This window comes from Homo sapiens, chromosome 15 (genome assembly GCF_000001405.40).
Source record: "Homo sapiens chromosome 15, GRCh38.p14 Primary Assembly".
NCBI classification, from domain to species: domain Eukaryota; kingdom Metazoa; phylum Chordata; class Mammalia; order Primates; family Hominidae; genus Homo; species Homo sapiens.
The window spans coordinates 25,493,894-25,515,556 of NC_000015.10; the positions used below are offsets into that span (position 1 = coordinate 25,493,894).

The 21,663-nt window shown below is 42.8% G+C and overlaps 1 long non-coding RNA gene across 3 annotated transcripts in view; it reads right to left on the reverse strand.

The window, feature by feature from the left end:
* Positions 1–21,663, reverse strand: part of LINC02250 (long intergenic non-protein coding RNA 2250) — a 122,536-nt gene that overhangs the window by 37,623 nt on the left and 63,250 nt on the right. For all 3 annotated transcript variants that reach the window (NR_187215.1, NR_187214.1, NR_187216.1), the window contains 2 exons: positions 14,166–14,313; positions 7,192–7,359 (listed from right to left, as the gene is read on the reverse strand). This is a non-coding gene — a long non-coding RNA (long intergenic non-protein coding RNA 2250). The remainder of the gene's footprint in view (positions 1–7,191; positions 7,360–14,165; positions 14,314–21,663) is intronic.

Here is a 21,663-nt window from a genome sequence, read left to right on the forward strand (position 1 = left end):
AACCAGGAAAATTTTTGATGATTAAGAGACCCTCTGCCTCCTGAAACAGAAAGGGAATACCATAAGGTGACTAAGCACAAATGAATATTTAAATTAAATGTCCTGCCACTTTGTGGTTGAGTTGAAGGTGACCAAATCCAACAGACTGCATGGTGACATCACTAGGATGTTGTTCTGACCTCCTCCTCTATCCCTTTCTCGGCTGAAGCTGTCTGATCTGGGAGGAGAAACAGAGCAGACAGAGCCTAGACTTTTGTGAGACCAAGAGACTCCACTCTATAGTCTTTTTGTAGTTTCCTGGACCTCTCTTGAATCCCAAGATTCCTTAGACTCCCTGTTATTCATTGCAGTTCTCTTCTTGGCTGTAGTCTCCCATGACACATCTGTCCTCTCTGCAGACACAGCCAAAAGAAAGGCATATGTAGTCCCTTACCCTAGGGGCTGTTTTTGACATGTATCCTCTCCCAGCTTGGTGGTGCTTTCTTGTTTCCTTCCAGATCTAGTTTTCTCTTCCAGGAAACAGTCTTTTTGCTTGTTCCTGGGTGTGGTTTATTTAATGCTGAATCCTTAGTTGGCAAAATTTGAGGATACTACTCTCATTGACTTTACCGCAATTCATGCTCCCTGGAGTGCTGAGATGTGGCTACTCTGGCTTCCCTGGCCTTGGCAGCTGGCTCTTCCTTGTTGACTGGGCTCTAGGTAAAATTCTGGACCTTGGTGCCACCCTGGTGACAAATTACTTTCCAGGAGCTCAGGAGATATGGAAATGTGGTATTCATCCCCACCAGAGTTTATGGACAGATTCACTCTCACTGAGTTTGACTTATTGATGGCAAAGAGAAAGAGACATTTTCTTGGGGAACCTAAGTGGAAAAGAGGAGTCTATTAAAAGGATGCACGGCTAGAGACCAGGCTTGTGACTTTACCCAGGAACAGAAAAATCATCCTGGCTCTCTGTCTTGCATCTCTTTTCTTTCTGATTCATTCTTTTTTTCTCTCTGGAGATTAACTTCTGTTTTTTGATCTTCACGAGGAGGTGGAAGATGATCTACTGGGGAAAATGGACTCTCTGACCCAATTCTCAGGGTAGATTTTCCAAGTTGCTGAAGTTTGGTCAGTGCCCATCCTATGTGTGGACTGGGCTGTCTGAAGACTACTCCTGCACATGTAGGGCAATTTGAGGCAGGGGAAATTTGTGAACGGGGTCAACTCTCATTAAGTTGTTCTTATTAGAGTGTGCCAGTGTTTAAAAGGGAACATAGGATTTCCAGTTTTCACTTCAGTGCAAAAGGAGCCTTGAAGCTGCCACTGTATCCTAAAAACAATTCAAAAAACTGTCAAACTGAAAAATCAACAGTTCTTCTTAGATCTATCAGAAAAGTGAGGACACAGGGTAAGCTGCTGTCCCCAAATTGGAGAGACAGACATGTGGATGCAATGAATCTACTTTTATCACAGCAGAAACTCTTGAGCAGAAACCTCCACGGGCGCCAGTGCCAGCATGGGAAAAGCTGAATTGTAACTGGCAAATTGCCGGAGGTTGAGTGTGGAAAAGATGGAGTTAAAAACTCCAGGAAGACCCAGGTATAGAAGGGCTCTTATACTTCTATGAGGTGTAACTACAGGCACTCTCCCAGCTTCTCAAAGCAAGGATCAGAGAAAAATTCCCTTATGCTTCTCTCACAGGGAGGAGAAAAGCAACCACTTTGAAACGTGCCAGAGCATTCTTCTTATTACAAGGCCTACCCTGAGGAGGAACTATTTTATCAGAGCCTAAATGCTGGGGTTTTATCAGAACCTAACCTACCCAGGGGAAGGGAAATACCTAACACCAGTTACCTGTAACCATCCTGTCCTATCTAAGGGATGGGGGGCAACTGAGAAGCTCCTATGAAGTTCACAGTCCACTTTAGGAAACTAGCAAAAGAGGAGCAAATTAAATCCAAAGAAAGCAGAAGATAAGAAATAACAAAATTACAGTAGAAATCAATAAAATTGGAAAGAAAATCAGTAGAGAAAATCGACAAAATTATAAGCTGGTTCTTTGAAAAGATCGATAAAATTGATAAGCCTCTGTAGCTAGGCTAAGAAAAAAAAATTACCAGTATCAGAAATGAAAGAGAGAACATCACTACAAATCCCATGAACATTAAAAGAATAACAAAGGAATATTATGAACGACTGTGTGCCCACAAATTTGATAACCTAGATGAAATGAACCATTTCCTTGAAAGACACAATCTGCCAAATCTCTTTTAAGAAGAAACAGACAATTGTAATAGGCCTATATCTATTAAAGAAATTGAATCGATAATTAATAACCATCCAAAACAAAGCATCAGGCCCAGTGGGTTTGCTGGTGAGTCCTACCAAATTTTTAAATAAGAAATTATACCAGAGGGAAGACTTTGCAATTCATTCTACGAAGCCAGCATTACCCTAATTCCAAAACCAGACAAAGATATTCCAGGAAAAAACTACAACAAATACCTGTCATAAACATAAATGCAAAAATCCTTAACAAAATTTTAGCAAATCAAATTAACAATGTGTAAAAATAAGTATACATCATTACCAACTAGGATTTATCCCAGTTATGCAAAGCTGGTTCAACATTCAAAAATCCATTCATATAATCTATCGCATCAACAGGCTAAAGAAGAAAAAAATTATGTGATCATATAAATAGGCGCAGGAAAAGTATTGGACAAAATCCAATACCCATTCATGATAAAAACTCTCACCAGACTATGAATGGGGGAAACTTGCTCACCCTGATAAAGAAAAGCACATCTATCTAAAAACCTACAATGAATATTATACGTAATGGTGAGAAACTCAAAGCTTCCTCGCAAAATCAGGAATCAGATGTCCCCCTCATCATTCCTTTTCAGTGTTATACTAGAAGTCCTAGGTAATGAAATCAGGCAAGAAAAGGAAATAAAAGGTATACAATTAGGAAGGAAAAAGTAAAATTGTCTTTATTTGCAGATGTCTACTAGATAATCCAAAAGAGTCCACTGAAGAACTCTTGGAACTAATAAGCAATTATAACAAGGTTGCAGGATACAACACAGAAAAACTTAATTGCTTTCCTGTACCAGCAATGAACAGATGGAATCTGAAATTAAGAACACATTACCACTAACATTACCATGCCAGAAATGAAATACTTAGATATAAATCTAACAAAATATGTACAAGATCTCTATAAGGAAAGCTACAAAACTCAAAACTGATGAAAGGTATCAAAGAAGAACTAAATAAATTGAGATAGTCCATATTCATAGACAGGAAGACTCCATATTGTCAAAATGTCAGTCCTTCCCAACTTGATCCATAGATTCATTGAAATCCCAATCAAAATCTCAGGGAGTTATTTTGTGGAGATCAACAAACTGATTCTAAAGTTTATATGGAGAGGCAAGAGACCCAGATTTAGCCATATTGGTATTGAGAGGGAAGAACAAAGTGAGAGGGCTGACAGTCTACCTGACTTCAAGACTTACTATAAAACTACAGTAAGCAAGACAGTGTGGTATTGATAAAAGAATAGACAAATAGATCAATGAAACAGAACATGGAACCAGAAATAAGCCCAAATAAATTCAGACAACTGATTTTTGACAGAGGAGCAAAGGCAATACAATGGAGCAGAGATAGTCTTTTCAACATGTGGTACTGGAACCATTGGATATCCCCATGCAAACAAATCCATCCAGATTCAGACCTTAAACCCTTAACAAAAATTAACTCAAAATGGGTCACAGACTACCTGTGGAACACAAATTATAAAGTGCTTAGAACATAATACAGGAGAAAAACCTAGATGACCTTGGGTATGGTGATGACTTTTTAGGTACAACACCAGAGACACAGTTCATGACAGAAATAATTAATAAGCCGGACTTCATTAAAATTAAAAACTTCTGTTCTGCAGAAGATAATTTCAAGAAAATAAGAAGATAAGCTACAGACTGGAAGAAAATATTTGCAAAAGACACATATGATAAAGAACTGTTACCAAAAATATACAAAGGACACTTAAAACTCAACAATAAGAAAACAAACTACTCGATTAAACAATGGGCCAAAGACCTTAACAGATACTTGACCGAAGAAGATACACAGATGTCAGTTAAGCATATGAAAAGATGCTCCACAAGATGCCATCAGGGAAATGCAGATTAAAAAACAATGAGATATCACTACATACCTATTAGAACGGCCAAATTCCACAGCTCTGACAACATCAAATGCTAGTGAGGATGTGGAACAACAGGGACTCTCATTCATTATTGGTGACAATGCAAAATAGTACAGCCACTTTGGAAGACAGTTTGGGCATTCCTTTAAAAACTAAACATACCCTTACCATAATATCCAGCAGTTGTGCTCTTTGATGTTTATCCAAAGGAGCTGCAAACTTATGTCCACACAAAAACCTGCAGCTTCATTCATAATTGCCAACACTTGGAAGCAACCAAGATGCCCTTCAATAGGTGAATGGATAAATGAACTGTGGGACATTCATACAGTGGAACGTTATTTAGCTCTAAAAATAAATGAGCTATCAAGCTATGAAAAGATATGCAGGAAACTTAAACGCATATTGCTAAGTGAAAGAAGCCAATTTGAAAGCCTTTATATTATATGATTCCAAGTATGTGACATTCTGGAAAAGGATAAACTATGGAGATAGCAAAAAGATCAGTTAATACTAGGGATTTGGGGGAGAGAGAGATGAATAGAGCACAGAGGATTTTTAGGGCAATGAAACTATTCTATCTGATATTATAACAGTAGAAACTTGTCATTATACACCTATCAAAACCCATATACAACACCAAGAGTGAATCTTAATGTAAACTGTGGATTTTGAGTGATGATGTGTCAATACCATTTCAACAGTAGTAACAAATGTACCATCCTGGTGGGGAATGTTGGTAGTGGGGGAGTCTGTGCATGTGTGGGGTCAGAGGGTATATAGGAACTGTCTGTACTTTCTGCTTCACTTTACTGTGAACCTAAAACTGTTCCAAAAATAAAGCTTATTCATATGAAAAACCGTAAACGAAAACGAAATACACACACACACACAGGATGAACACACCCACTTGTGCGATGTCCTCTTAGTTTCTTTAGTATGCCCTCTATAGAGATTACCTGGCATGCTTTCAGTCTACCACTCACAGCCTTTACAGCCTGGAGATTATGGTAGTAAGAGGCTAACAACTATATAGCCATACCACCCTCCCATCAATTATTTAGTCAACAGGTATCTGTTGAGCATCTAATATGTGCCAGCGGTGCCTAGAGGCTGTGGGGTGGAAAATGAGTCAGCACTCTTTACAGCCCCTTGCCCACAAAGATGCGATCATCTGTGATATCATTTGGATGTTTTTTCCAATCTCATGTTGAAATGTGATTCCCAGTGTAGTAGGTGGGGCCAGGTGGGAAGTGATTGGATCATGGCGGCAAATCCCTCATGAATGGTTTAATACCATCCTCCTGGTGATAAGTGAGTTCTTGCTCAGTTAGTTCATGCACGATCTGGTTGTTTAAAAGAGTCTGGGGAGACCTACCCCTTCTCTCTCTCTTGCTCCCACTCTTGCCATGTGATGCGACTGCTCCCTTTTCCCTTCTGCCACAAATAGAAGCTTCCTGAGGTCCTCACCAGAATCAGATGCTGGCATCACTCTTCCTGCACAACCTACAGAACTGTGAGCCAGTTAAACCTCTTCTCTTTATAAATTACCCAGCCATTAAGCATTCCTCTATAGTAACACAAACAGACTAACACAGTCCACTTGGGAAATAGAATGTCACCATGCAGCTAGTAGTGAATATGATGATATTACATATTGCTACAGTTGACTGGGGACCAGGATAATGGTGAGCTACTAATTATTTGGCACAGGTGATAAGAGTATAAAGATTCGGTGCAGAAAGATTCATTTGAGCTGGAAAACCCTGAGAAAATTGGCAAGAGCAGGGGCAGCTTCACGTAGCTTCACAGCTGATCAGCTCTGTTGAGACCATCTTGAAATTCTTACTAATTTTTGAACAAAAATCCTCATATTTTTATTTTGCACTGGACTCCCCAAATTAAGACCCCTCCTTTCCAGGAAGGAAATGTTTGTATGGGTCATGTCTGATTTAGAAATCATAATTGATACCACTTATTGTGCATTTTTAAGTACCAGGAAGGATCTTAGGTGCTGAGACCTTATCTCCTCTAACCCACACAAAGGAGAGGAAAACCAAGTTTCAGATAGGTCACCTGATCTCACCCAGTTTGTGGGGCAGGCAAGATTCAAACCCAAGCTCTTTTCTTTTATTTCTGATTCATTCTTTCCAGATTTTTATATCAGTTATTTAAATTCATGGTTCATACTTTGAAATGATTTTTAATTAATTAATTAATTTTTTTTGAGGCAGAGTCTCACTCTGTGGCCCAGGCTAGAGTACAGTGGTGCAATCTCATGGCTCATTGCAGCCTCAACATCTTTGGCTCAAGCAATCTTCCTGCCTCAGCTCCCCAAGTAGCTAGGACTACGGGTGTGCACCACCACACCCAGCTAATTTTTACTTTTTTTGTGTGGAGAATGTGGCCTCACTATGTTTCTCAGGCTGGTCTCGAACTCCTGGCCTCAAGCAATCCTCTGACCTCAGCTTCCCAAAGTGCTGGGATTACAGTTGTGAGCTATCATGCCCAGCCTTGAAATGACTAAGATGTTTGAGAGGAATAAACCAGCTCACCTCTGTGAATAGTTTAGTTCAGCAGTTCCTAAACATTTTCAGTTCACAGCACCCTTAATGTCTTAGTAATCTTATTCACAGGGCCCTGAGGCCACATGAAATACCTAACAGTTCTATTTATGACCTTGTTGGGTCCAACTACCTTAATAAGTATTTATGTCCTAACAACTTAGGAGCTGGGTAAAAAATAATATGTACAAATTGGAAGAAAATAAATCATATTTTATTGTAATATTAAATAACCACAATTATTTACTAATGATATGTAGGTGCATCAGTTGGGCACTAGCAATATGTAAAACCTTGGAATTAGATAGGACATATCACTTTTTCCCCCACAACTATCACAACAGTCACCAAAAACCAAGCTTTGCAAAGATATGACATCATGGAAGGAAATTTAGCAACCTAATGTTAAAACCAATTTACCTGGAGCTAGCAGTTCCTGAGATGTCCGACAGGCATCCTTGTGTTCTCCTCAAGTATTTAAAAATACCCAGGCACTTCTGCGAGTCCCTTGAGGTGCCTGCCCCTCTGCCTGTTTATGCAAAGCAATGTCCGCTTGCTGGTGGACAGGTCCAGGCAGTGCTTTTTCCTCTGCGCGATATTAGATATGCAGAAAATCATGGATAGGAAGTGCCAAGGAAAAAACGGGGGATAAAAATAGAATGAACCAAAAAAGGAGCTCAAGAAATGTATTTTTAATGCAGTGCCACAAAAATAAGCTCATATTTTACTATGTATTTGACATCAGAATACAATTACAACTGACATCAATTATGTTCTCTATTAGACTTTTCTCTACCTTATACATTTAAGTGTAATCCCAAATGGGGAGAGAACCAGTGCTTTTTAATATAGGTGCTTTCTCAATTTGAAAACTAGAATGGAAGTCATGTTCAGAAGTGTAAAGAATTCTAAGAATTAGGTGGTGGATAAAAGATTGTTAGCAACCAAGAGGTTCCGTTATTTTTTACTTCAAGAATGCTGGTATGTGGAAAATGGAAACCATATTCAACCACTCACTTAAGTTAGCTAAACCCAACATATTACAGCAATTATTAACCCTCTTTCATCTTTCTAATAACAAGACACAAAAATAGTTATAATTTGTAATCAGTAACATGTCATTAGAGGGCTGTTAGTTGATTTTATCTACCAGTGCTTAGGTAGATGGGTTTTGTTGTTGTTTGAATTTCATGTTAATTCAAACGGAATGAAAACTTGGTTTTTGATGAGGACAGAAAGATTTTACATCTCATTTCACTGGTTCTTTTTTCTTCTGAACGTTGGACTTCTATGTGCTTATTTAAAAAAATATGTGGCTACTGCCATCTGTTGGATGGAATGTGAGTCCTGCTCAGACACGTGTGCCCTTTAAACAATGTCTGTCCCTTCTAACTTCACAAGTGTCTCCTCAAGGTAAGGAGACACTTACCTTGAGTGTCTCCTCAAGGTAAGGCCTTTGCTGTAGCTGCATGCATCCCAGCTTCCAGCCCCAGAACTGAGTTCATTTTGGGAACGTTTTCTATTGTTGTGGGGCACTTTCTCTTCAGACATGTAAATGCTCTCTACTGAAGAGTGTGTATATGGTTTTTTATCTTTCCAGTAAAACTTACAGCATAAGGAGGCATGTCGGGGTAGGGAGGGATGTGGCTGGGAGCATGTTTAGGAACAAGCATATTTTTAGCATGGGTAGTAGAGTCTACATTGGACTAATATAGGCAGAGGAATCAAAGTTCAGCTCTAAATTGTGGTGCATACTGAGGCCACTGATTTTATTTCTCTGAGCTGGCATTTCGTCAGCTGTAAGGCAAGAGCAGGACTAGGACTGAGAAAATCTTCTGAGCTGAAGACCCACGCAGCTCTAAGGAGTCATAGTCAAGAACAGCAGACATAACAGCAAATACGAATTTAAGAAATGCCAGTCTAAAAGCACATAAGAACCAATCTACAGGTTATGGGAAACCCATTTTATCTGACTCCCTTCTCTCCCGCTCCTGGGTTCTTATTTTTCTGCTTTTCTTGGGCTCTGATTGTCAGCATCCTCTCTCCTCACCCCTCCCACTCTTTCTTTGTGGAGGGACTGTTCCCTCTCCACTCCCATTGGGCTTTTTTCTTAGTCCTCCCCTCCTCCTCCAGCCCTCAGTCTCGGATGTCTCTGCGCACCTGCCGATTCCGCATTACAAAATTCCAAGAACCGGTCTTAGAAAAACCATCTCTTCTCTGAGGTAGGAAACACATGAAGCTGAACTAGGCAGCACACACTTTGTGTGTGTCCTAGACCAATACACACACACACACACACACACACACACACACACACACACACAGAGCCAAGCACTTCTGGCAGCAAAAGCCTTAAACCCTGTGCATGAATTACTGTGTCCAAGCATTGGTTCCTTCCGGTGGGTTCTTGATGTCGCTGACTTTTAAGAACGAAGCCCCCTACCCTCATGGTGAGTGTTACAGTTCTTAAACATGGTGTGTCAAGAGTTTGTACCACCACATGCTCAGATGTGTCCAAAGTTTCTTCCTTCTGCTGGGTTCGTCGTCTCACTGACTTCAGGAGCGATGCCACAAACCTTCACAGTGAGTGTTAACGCTCTTAAAGGTGGCGCCTACGGAGTCGTTCATTCTGGTGGACTCGTGGTCTCACCGGCTTCAAGAGCAAAGCCAGCTGCAGACCTTCCAAGGGAATGTTACAGCTCTTAACGTATTGTGGACCCACAAAGCGAGCAACAGCAAAATCTATTGCAAATAGCGAAAAATCAAAGCTTCCACACTGTGGAAACTAACCCAACCCACTTGCTGCTGCTGGCTCGGGTTGCCAACTTTTATTCCCTTATTTGGCCCCACCCACATCCTGCTGATTGTTCCATGTTACAGAGAGCTGATTGGTCCATTTTACAGAAAGCTGATTGGTCTGTTTTACAGAGTGCTGATTGGTCCGTTTTTACAGCATGCTGATTGGTGCGTTTATAAACCTTTAGCTAGACACAGACTGCTGATTGGTGCATTTACAATCCTTTAGCTAGACAGAAAAGTTCTCCAAGTCCCGACTGACTCAGAAGCCCAGCCGGCTTCACCTATCAATATGACTGCAGTGCCTATAGCTGAATTCACTGGTTAGGGAGTGTACAATGGAATTTTGTCCCTTGAATTGGGGATGTTTGAAGATGGAGGCTATTTCACTCCTTCCTCCTGCCTTGCTAAAGAATGACTGGGATCATTACTGAACTCAGTTCTCATTTGCTTTCTTAAAATTTGATGTCCACAAAACCTGGAGTTTATTTACTTCTCCCTTCCCTCCTTTTTTCATTTTTCTGTCATACCATTTGTTAATACCAGATTAGAGAAGGGGAGCATGTCAAGGAATTCCTTTATGACTTCCTCTCTGAGGATGAAGTCTTGGTCAGTCTTGACTGGACATGGTCAGGATGGATCCTGGGAGTGGGACTGGGCTCCACGGTGTGTGTACTCTCCAGGGCAGTTATCCTGCTGGGGCTGGGCCAGCCCTCCTGCCCTAGCAGCCCCCATCTTTCTCTGCCCCACCCTGTCTCCTAGGTGTGCTGGGATTGCTGTGTGGGGAGGGAGTACGGCCAGCCTGCCTGGGCCCACACCTTCAAGGAAATGAAAAATAATTTCTCCTTGCAAGAGGTTAGGGGAGCTTCCCAGGCTTGTCTGTTGCTATTTCTGTCAGTGAAGAAGCAGTTTCGAGGTCCCCAGGCGGCTGGGAGGAAAGGAAGTGTGCCCCAGGCCCACCTAGGGGGAGGTCTACAGGAGAAAGGCTCTCTTTGTCATTGCTGGAGGGTAACAGCGAGTTTGCAGTTGGTGATAATGATTCATTTCCTCAGTTGAGGTTTGGGAGGATTATAGCTGGAATTTGAAAAGTCGTTTCTATATCTGGCAACGAAGGAACTCTGAGTGATCAGCATGTACTGTTTGGTGTTTTGCCATCATTGGTAATATCACTGTCTTAGTCAGCTCGGGCTGCTGTAACAGAACACTGTAGACTGGGGGGCTCACAAACAACAGACATCCACTTCCCACAGTTCTGGAGGCTGGAAGGCCACGATCGGGGGCCAGCTGGCTTGGGTTCCGGTGAGGGCCCTCTTCCGGCTGCAGATGGTTGCCTTCTGATTGTATCCTCACGAGGTGGAAAGAGAGCCAGAGAGCTCTCTTGGTCTCTGTCACAAGGGCATTAATCCCATTCATGAGATCTCCACCCTGATGACTTAATCACCCCCCCAAAGGCCCATCTTCTAAAACCATCACATGGAGGATTAGGATTTGAACATATGAATTTCATGAGAATGCAAACATTCAGTCAATAGCCATCACCAACAACACTAAAATGTAAATTGGAGGCGTCATGTGAAAAAAGAAATGATCTAAATGAAACTCCATGCTATCATAACGGAGTTCTGCAGCCACCAATGTATGTCCTCTGGTTGAGTGTACAGGCGGTATATGTATATGTTAAGTGTATATATATCTTATGATTGTTCTGAGTATTCATGATTTAAAGTACATAATCAAGCAATGAGCAGTGTTCACATCCCCAGCTGATTAGAGCCAGCGTGTTTCTCTAATCATTCTCCACTGGCTGGTTGTGGAGGCAGAATGTTATCAGGATGCCCTGATAGATCAGCAATGTCCTCTCCTGCTTTGTTTCAGGAAGGGGCGAACGTTTGTTTACGGATCTGACAGCATAAAAAGTGAACCTGCTGAGAATGGAGTCCATGCACTCAAAGTCACTTCACCTCCACTGGTGTTGAAGGATCCCCGTGGCTCATGGTCCACAAGCCAGAGAGCTTATTGCTAGTGCAAATGCTTACCCAGTTCCTTCCACTGGGATGGACAGTTCCAGTTCCTAACTCAGCCCAGAGGAGCACAGCTCTTTTGTTTCTAGTATCTTCTAGTGTAGAGGAGCTGTTGTTGAGGATAGGTCCGTGGAGGTGATCGCCTCCCTTAGCTCCTGCACAGTAAGCAGATGCTGAGGCGGTCTTGAACATTAGAGCATAAGGCACCGGGATGTGTCCCCAGGGCTGTGCTGCCCTTGAGTGCCTTCCTGGTCTGTAAAGTTGCATGGCATGCAGGAAGAGAGAGAGGTCTGGCAACTGGCAGCACACCATGACTGAGTGGACCTGACTCTCCAGGCACCTTGAGGGTGCAGAGCCACCACTTCACTCTCACAGAGCTACACCATTATGGGGTATCTTTGCAGGACATAGGAGACAATCTGAAGTGTTCAGAAACTCCAATGCCCTGAAAACACTATCAGGGGATGAATTATAATGTAACATACTAATAATACTAAAAAGGCAAAGGGAGGTAAGGTTTTAAGAGATTCACTATGAACTTTGACCTCAAGTCTATGGAATCCTCTTTTAGCTCATACCTCATTGTAGATTTTTTTAAAAACTGCAGTGAATTATGTTTTTTTCTATTAAAATTGCCTATAAGTTGACAGTGAGTTTATCAGAAGTCTGTCTTTTCCCATTTTGACAAGGTCTAGTGACAACTGGTAAGAACTTAGAAGTATAGTCAGCACCAGCTACTTTCAACTAACTACAGGAGGGATAACTCTGCATTGCTGTTGGTTGATACATAAGCTGAGACATGAATGATATTCACTGCATAACTGGCAATGTGGACACTAATGGGACCCTTCCCACAGGTCATGCCCGCTGTTGAGTGCACTGTATAGATGATCACATTTATTCCCCAGTGCAACTCATGGGACAGGGATTATCATCCCTATATTCAGGGAGGAAATTGAGACTCAAGAGAGGCTCAAGTAGCAGAACCAGGCTTGGATCCAGAGACTCTGACCCCAAAGCCGTGACTTATGGTGGGGAGCTCTGTTTCTTCCCAGAGGTTCTAGTGAGCAGCCTGAGGTAGTGATTTCCTCCTATGGTGACTGAGAGCTCCTACTTTATGGCATCAGATCAGGGAGGGACTCCAGCTTGATCTGGCAGCTGCAGCTGTAGACATTATTCCTGCCCTCGTGAAACATAAAGACTTGTTAGTCTAATGGTAGAGATACGACATCAGTGTAACATAATAGATACTTATTAATCAGTTGCTGTTATTCCAAACACAACATTGCTTTGTTATACTATATGTAGTCGCTTCTTCTGTATGTCTATAAATCAAATATATTTCCTTGCATCCTGAGAGGTAACAACCTAGATAAATACTTTATTTATTTATAATCCATCCACCTATTCATCTATCCAACACATATTTGGTGATTTTGATTACATTCCAGGTGCCTTTGCTAAGGATGGAAGGACATACAAAGATGTGAAAATCCAGGCACAGGCTCTTCCTCCGAGGTGGCTCAGTCTAGCAGGGGGAGACCCTCTCTGTACATAACTCTGAGGAAAGTGCGCTGGAAGAGCAGGGGTTTAGCAGAGAATGTGTTCTCACGGCAGGGGGTCACAGAAGTATTGATGAGTGAGCAGGACTTGGAAAGGGCAGATGGGCTGGTAGTAAGGACATTGCAGATGAGCAAAGGGACACTCCTGGGGAGTCTTGAGTGTGGGGGGGACTTGAGGATGTTCATGGAGGGGAAAAGCTGGGCAAGGCTGAAGAGTAGGGCAGGGCAGGGCACGGAGGGCTTGGCCCCTGGATTGGCAGCTAAGACTGAATTCAGTAGGCAGTGGGGCCATCAAAGCTTCGAGAGCTGGGGAAAGCCATGACATGGGTTTAGTGGGAAACACATATTACTTAAAGTCAGGCAGATCCTGGCTGGAATCCTGGCTCCATCTTTTTAGCTGTGTCTGCTTGGTCAGTTGCTCTCAGCCTGAGTTCCCATGTCAGTCACCTGAAGGAAATGGGCCTGCTTTGTGGTCTCATTTAGAGGTCTTGCTCAATCATGTGTGTAGAGTGCCCATGGGGCCTGGCCAGTGAGTCCTCCGAGGCACCTCAGGCTGAACCACGGGTGGCAATAGAAATGGTATGAAAAGATGGACAGCTCTCAGAGACAAGGAAGAATGACTAGAACTCGGAACCTGACAGGAGGTGTCCTTGTCCGGTGAGGGGGCTGCAGAGTGAGATGTGACCATTCTGGGCTACCTTCCCGGCAGTTCCCTGCCCAGGCATGTGGTCGCTGTGGGGCCCTGAGCCTGGGACAGTCCTTTTTTGGGGTCAGGCTTTTCTTTGGGTTATTCCTTTCAAGCCATAGTAAAACCTAGTAGTCTCTGTTTTCACACAAGTTTCTGACATCTGATGCCAGATTTACAACCTGAAGTGGCCAAAGATTTTAGGTTTTCCTTGGGGCTTAAATCAATGGTGTTGCTTGGCTTCCTCCTGTGCAGTAGGTTGGCCAAGAAAACCACCCTTTGTTCTGTCTTGAAGGGAAGGCATGCTGCTGTGTGGCTCTTGACATTTACCTTATCCCGGAGCTGAGCTTTGTCTATGGCTGTGCAGGTGGGGCGGGAATGGGAAAGACAGTCCTCTGGCACGCTTTCCACATTTGGATGGAAGACCCAGCTTCAGCTTCAAACACTTTTATTCCTGATGGCATTGTTTACAAACATGCTAGAAAAACAGAATTAGGGAACAAAATTATCTCATGATTGCTGAACTATGATGAGATTGATGCTTTTAAGCACTTCCCCTAGGGAAACCAGGCAGGAATCTTTCAAGGGGAAAATGTATCATAAGGGAAGACAATTAAAAGTTAAAACTGGCTAATGAAACTGATAAAGGGAGAATTGTTTTAATTATCGATGCTCGTCTTAAATAAATTGTATGATTTCCCAGAATAACACATCCATCATCATCAAGTATGAGGACATGACCCGATCCTGGGGTCTCACAAGGGGCTTTTGGGTGTCTCTGAGAGGACCATGATGAAGACTCAATGACATTCATGCTTCTGAACCCTGAATCCACTTCAAGATGCCATGTAAATGCTGTGCATCTTCACCAGCAGATGTCACTGTTTACATATAAAATGCAAACAGCCCCCAAAGCTTCCCCCCACCCCCACCTTTATTCTAAAGCAACACACACTTGTCCATGTTTTTTCATAAAGCCTTATTTATCATGTGGTCATTTTTGTTCTGGAAAATAATGATATTGTTTATCCCTTTAAATAGCTGTACATGTAAAGGGAACTGGTTTATGAGAGATACCCATTTCACATACTAAGCTATGCAATGACACCTCTTTTAAAAGATAATTGTTGAACACTTACTATTTGCCTGAAACCAGCTTCCCATGATGAAAGGTATCCAAAAACAGCTAAAGAGCTGTCCTTCTTTAAGGGTCTTAAAACCTCTTTTGAGAGATGACAAATAATAAAGCAACTTACAATGTTGGAAGTTAAATACTAAAACTAAAAATGAGTGTCATATTGTTTCAGGGAGATGAAGGTCTGTGGGGGCTGGAGCAGATGGAAGGCTTTAGGGAAGGAAGCCCCAAGATAATGAGGGTGAATTCATCTGGTTGAGAGTGGAAAGGTACTGTGGGTTTTTGGTTTTTTTTGTTTGTTTGTTTTGCTTTATGTGTTTTGGGGTACTTTTGCTGAGAGAATAAAGAGCAATTATGTTTGGAGGATCTATTTGTTGGAGTCATGAAGAGCAAAATGGAGGAGGACAATGTTATTACAAAATCCAGCTGCGAGAACAGCGACTCCTGCAATGGTAACTAGAAATAAGATCAGATTGGGAGGCATAAGGAAGGAAGACAAGACCGCCATGCCAGCTTATTGACAGGTACAGTCACTATGTCTTCTTGTCTTCTCAGTCCAAAATCAAAATACAAGCATTGACACATGGTCAGACACTAAAACAGAAGGTTTGAAATCAGGGCTGTTTCCAGAAACTCCAGGACATATGGATGCTGCAAATATACGGAGGAGAGAGTGACTCTCATGAACATGTAGGGTATCAATGGTGCTGCCACTGAGAGAAATGGAAGACCTGGGGAGGAAGGTTGGCTTGGACAGAAAGATGTTTTTAGTCTGATCCATGTGGTTGAAACTGATGTGGGCCACAGCATGATCTAGCAAGGCTGGAAGCTATTCAGGAGCCACTGACCTAGAAGTGGAAACGACAATAGGGAGGGGAGAGAGAAGGGCCAGGGTGTAGTCGTCAAGGTTTGTGTTTTAAGGAGCCAGCTCATTTTATTAAATTGCATACATCAATAAGTAATATCCAGGAAAGAAGAGAACTAGAAACCTCTCCCTGGTGTGGTGTACTATTAAGCATGCAAGTTTCTGCTGACTTTGCATCCTCTCTGCCTTCACATCATGGGAATTCGTGACCAGAAGCCTTCAGCCTGCACCCCTCCACCCATCCCAGGGTTTCACCATAATTACTCGGGACTCTCAAACATCTGTGCATCAATCAGCTGCCCATCATACTTGCTCACCCCTTCCAGTCTCTGGGAAAGCAACTTATTATCCAATGTGGAAGGTCTTGTTCTTGATAAGGTTCACTTTTTGAATCCTATGAGGGAGGGAGGGAAACGTGGCTGGAAGTTCAAAGCAGCCAGAGCCATTTCCAAAACACATTCTCCTTCATTTTCCGCTGACTCACTGTGGGATCTTGACAAACTCCTAACTAGAGCTGTGCCTTAGTTTGCTCAACTATAGAATCGGAAAAATGACGCATTCTTCTTAGAGTTACCTCTCAGATTGTGCTTCTGATGCATGTCAAGCCCAGTGGGGGCACACCGTTAGTAATGAGACATCTTAGCACCAATATGTGCTTTTCACATTGGGCAGGTGTCAGGAGAGGCCTGGGGTCATAGGACCAGACTGCAAACAACACAATCCCAGAATAAATCCTATTAATTTGGCATAATTGATGAAAATGAAGATTAGATATTTGACCAGAGATGAGAAATTCATGGGCATGAATGCTGCAGCTCTGATTACTTTGCATGTGAATGTGTGGTAAGAGGCAACATTTCTTTTGTTTAAAACCCTGTGCACCTAATTCACATTCAGAGAAAGGTTGTAGAATCATTCAGGCTCATTGAAAACAAGGAACCAGGATGCCAGCAAGGCCAATGTTGTTGTGAGAATGTTGAGCTATTAATTATAAAATAGCAAAACAGGGTGATTTTATTTATAGCAAACTGTTGCTAGGCAGATAATAAAGACCCCTTTCAGAGCTTGCATTTATATATACATATATATATATATATATATATGTATTTTTTTCTCACAAAAAAGTGCTAGCTTGTGTAATGATTTTTCAGATGAAATGAAAGCAGGACGAGGCTGTCAGCCCTGAATACTTGTGACTTTTAGACTAAAGTCCTTGGCATCAGCCAGCACTGCAGGATGGAGCAGGTGAGGTTCAGCAACCCTGTGAAGGGAGGCTAGGGTATTACCCGCACCCTTTAACAGCAGACTGAGTATATAAACTCTCACTAGACTGGAAGTGAGTGAGCAGCCCCAGGAAAGCCCAGATGAGCTATTGTGCCTTCCTTGGCTTCCCTACCTTCTGTTGTGCCAGGAAGGGTCGGGGAGCCTGTCTGTGGCCTTACTCAGTCAGATATCCCTTCCCTGGCCCCTCTAGAGATGGTTGCTACCTCCTTTTAGGAAGTGTGTGGGAAGGGGCCAATTTGCAAAGGTTCACTTGTGCTCAGTCCCTGCTAAGATGATCAAGCTCTTTTCAAAACTCAGGGGTTGGGCTTTTGCAGTTTCTGGATAGAAGAGGCCCTTAAATATTTGTGGAATTCATGAATGACTTCATGCATGCATTTGGTCCTGTATTTTGGTCCAAGTAGAAGATATGGTAGGTAGAAAAATACCACCTCCCCCGACAAAGACATTTCTATCCCAATCCCTGGAACCTGTACATGCTACTTGATTTGGAAAAAGGGTCTTTATAGATGTGATTAAGTTAAGGATCTTGAGATGGGGAGATCATGCCGCATTATCTGGTAGATCCTAAATGCAATCACATGTATCCCTTTAAGAAAGAAACAGACATTTAACTACATACAGAAGAGGAGAAGGTGATGTAAAGGTAGAGGCAGAGTGCTATAGACTGAATGTTTGTGCACCCTTCCCCACCCACCCAACCCTGCAAATTCATATATTGAAACCTAACCCTAATGTGATGGTTTTAGGAGGTGGGGCTTTTGGGAAGTGATTAGGTTATGAGGGCAGGGTCCTCATGAATGGGATTAGTGCCTTTTTCAACAGGCCCCAGAAAGCGCCCTTGCCCCTTCCACCATGTGAGGATGACCATCTATGAACTAGGAAACAGGCCCTCACCAGAGACTGAATCTGCTGGCATTTTTGATCTAGGACTTCTCAGCCTCCAGACTGTGAGAAATAAATTTCTGTTGTTTATTAGCTACTCAGTCTGTGGTATTTTCTTATAGCAGCCCAAACACACTAAGACACAGAGATTGGAGTGGTGCAGCCAAGAGCCACAATTGCCAAAGGTGCCAGCGACTTGAAGAGCCAAGGCATGGATTCTCCCCTCTGGAGGGAGTATGGCCTGTGGACACCTTGGTTTTAGCCCAGGGAAGTTGATTGTATACTTCTGGCCTCCAGAACTTTGAAGAATAGCTTTTGGTGTTGTAAGGCACCAATGTGTGGTAGTTTGTAGAGCAACCACAGGAAACAAATACAGAAAACAACCATTTCCTCCTGAATCAAACTCCAAACAACCAAATTCCACCTTGGTCATCAAATTTCAGAATAAGTAGCATGAGACATTTTTGTCCCACACAGGTATTACTGGGGCGATGTTATGAAGGTGACGGGAATTTTTTAAAATAGTTTTTAAAATTATGAAAGTGAAATGCAGTCATGGTAGAACAAAGAAGCCAAATAGTATGACAAAGTCTAAAATTCAGTGTGCCCTCCACTCCTGATTCCCGGAGGTCAGTCCTCTGTTTCTGTGTACTCTTCTTTCAATTATGATGAATACAAATATACTTATATCTCCTTATTTTTATACAAACTGAATCATTCATTCACACCACACAGCACATTTTTTGTTCATTTAAAAGTGTATTTTGGGAGATCTTTCGGTATTTGTATATAGATAATTCCTAATTATTTTTCAACAATTGTATGGACATATCATAATTTAATCTGTCTAAACTGATTACTTATTAAGGAAAATGAGATATGCTTTTGCTTTGACAAGGACACTATGCCTTTAAACTGCACTTGTAAGATAATAAAATACTTTTATTTCCCTAAGTCACAGCAAACTATTGTCATTGCTCTTAACAGGCAGCATGATTCATGAAGAGGCTTGGGTTCTGCCCAGGAACCCTAAGATTGTGGGAGAAGTCTGGGATCTTCTGAGTGATAATATTCATCTGTGTCAAATGCAAACTATTGGGCACAGCCCAGGAAAAGAGAAGGCTCTGAAACAAATTGGCTGAATGAAGAAATCAATCAACACACTGCTATTGTGTTTATCTGGGACCTTACTCGAGATCTCAGTGCTAGTAAGTGGCTGATCCAGGATGTTGACCCTGGCCAGCTGACACCCAAGCCCGTCCACACTCTTAGCTAATCAAGGCAAATACTTTGGCTATCCATGGCTGCATTGCAAGCCACCCCGAAACTCAGCAGCTAATACAGCAACAATCATTTATTTGCTCATGATTCTGCCATTTGGGCAGTGCTTGGTGAGAACCACCCATCTTCACTCCATGTAGTGTCTGCCTGCACTGGAATGTCCAAGACAGATCATTTTACTCATGTGTCTGGTGCTTCTGCTGGGTGGGTGGAACACAGGGGCTGATCTGGCATTTCAGTCTCCATGTGGCCTCCCCATGTGACCAACATGGGCTTTCTTACAGTATGGTGGTCTTAGGCTATTGGCTTTCTTCCATAGCAGCTGACTTCTCCCAGATCACAAAAGCAGAAGTTGCATTCTTTCTTAATTTCCAAACTTGGAAATTTAAGGACATCACTTCTGCTGCCTTGATTGGTTAAAGCAATCAAAAGGTCAGGTCAGATTCAAGGGGAGAGGAAACAAACAACACTGCCTCTTGTGGAGGGAGAGTCAAGACCATTGCAAAAGAGCCTGTGGGATGGGAGATATCGTGGAAATCTTTGGAAACACACTCCACAACCGACAATTAAATGTGAACATTAGAAAGCTATTGTAGGAGAAGAAAGAAGAGTCACAAAGGGGAAGGAGTTTGTAAGACTGACAGATTACTTCCAGCCTGCAGAATGAAAACCAGGGATCATGGAGGACATGCTTGAATTGGCATTGGTGGGTAGGTAGAAGTAGACATTTGCATGTGAGAAGAAAGTGGCTTCAGGAGCACAGTGTAAGCAAAGGCCTGAGGTGGGAAGGTGGGGTGTGTGTATGTGTGTGTGTGTGTTTTCATCAAAAGATCTAGCAAGAAGAGGGTTGAAGACCTGTGGGGTGATCTATTTCTAAGCAAAAGGTCATATGTAGCATAGAGGTGGCTGGTGATACTGGCTTTCTTTGGTTCCTAGGGTACTGCAAATAGGGTGGAGATGAAGACAAGTTCTCGCCCTCTGGCTACACTGGCACGTGGGAACAGCCTTCTCTTGGAGGACTGTTGCCAGACAGAGGTATGTGGGCACCTAGGCATTGCCATTGACCTCAAGATGAGAGTGGAGTGGGTCATTATCGCTGCTCCCACCCTGGAGCTGAGCCCCCTCCTGAGCCCTTGTTGCGGCGCCTGTGAGGCGGGCCCAGCTGCAAATGGCAGCCGCGAGGTAATTGTGGGAAAAATATGCTAATTAGCAGATGCCCACGATTAACTTGCCTTTCCTGTTGCCTGTCAAACCCAAGCTGCCTTTGTTGGAAAAGATAATTAAATTGGAATCAGATGTCTGCAGTAAATATTTTATTCAGAGCCGTAGATGACAATAGAGGAAGTTGACTCTCAGTCCACCTTCAAATTCCCACCTTTGTCAAAGCTCAGGGCCTGAGCTTGGAGTCTACTCAGTGAGCTTCTTGTTAAACAATCAAGGGACACCACTGGGTGCTTATTAGCTTATTAATGCTAGCATGTTGTCAAAATGCATCTTTGTTCCTGTAAGAGTGGACGAAACCTGTCTTGGAATGTGTGGAATCCAGATCGACTAGGTACTCTAGCCAGCATCCTCCCTGTGTGCCTTCCTCATGCACCCCGTTTGCTTCCTGTGTATCCGGTCCCTCCGAGGGGATCCGAGGGGACCAAGGGTTCTGCTCCCCTCCCTCACTGAGGCTTTCCCCATGTGCCATCGTGGTACTGGAGCTCGGTGCCTGCACACAATTTTCTGCCTCTCGTGGATGGCTCTGCCCTGCTCCAGCAGGTGACAGTCATGATGGTGACTTTGGCGCGGTGAATGCCCAGGAAGCTTGTTAGATTTCTTTTCTTCATGTGATGCGTCAGCTCTGATACATCTTATAGGATGGGAAAGTAAAGAGTGCTTAGGGGGCAAGTGGCTCTTTCTTTTGAGTACAAATGGTAGTTTTCCTTAAGGACTTTATATGAGGAAAAGATCTGTGAGGAGAAACCAGTATGCCCTGTCCTACCTTCCTCCTCATACTCCAAGCCCTCCGTCATCCTCACAGTATCGTTGCTCTCCCTCCATGCCTGGGACCCTGGAAGGACGAGTAACTGGCCTAGCCTCTTGTTTGTTAGCAATGGAGAAAGGAAGCCAAAGAGTGAAACACATGTGGGAGACCCAACCTAGGAGACACAGGATCAAGACATGGCTCCTTGTAATTAGGTACATCAAACTGAAAATCTTCTGCATGGCAAGGGAAACAAGAGTGTAAAGGCAACCTACAGAATAGGAGAAAATATTTGCAAACCATATACCTGACAAGCAGTTAATTTCCAAAATATCTAAGGAACTCCTAAGACTCAATAGCAAGAAAACAAATCATCTGGTTAAAATATGGGCAGAGGACTTAAATAGACATT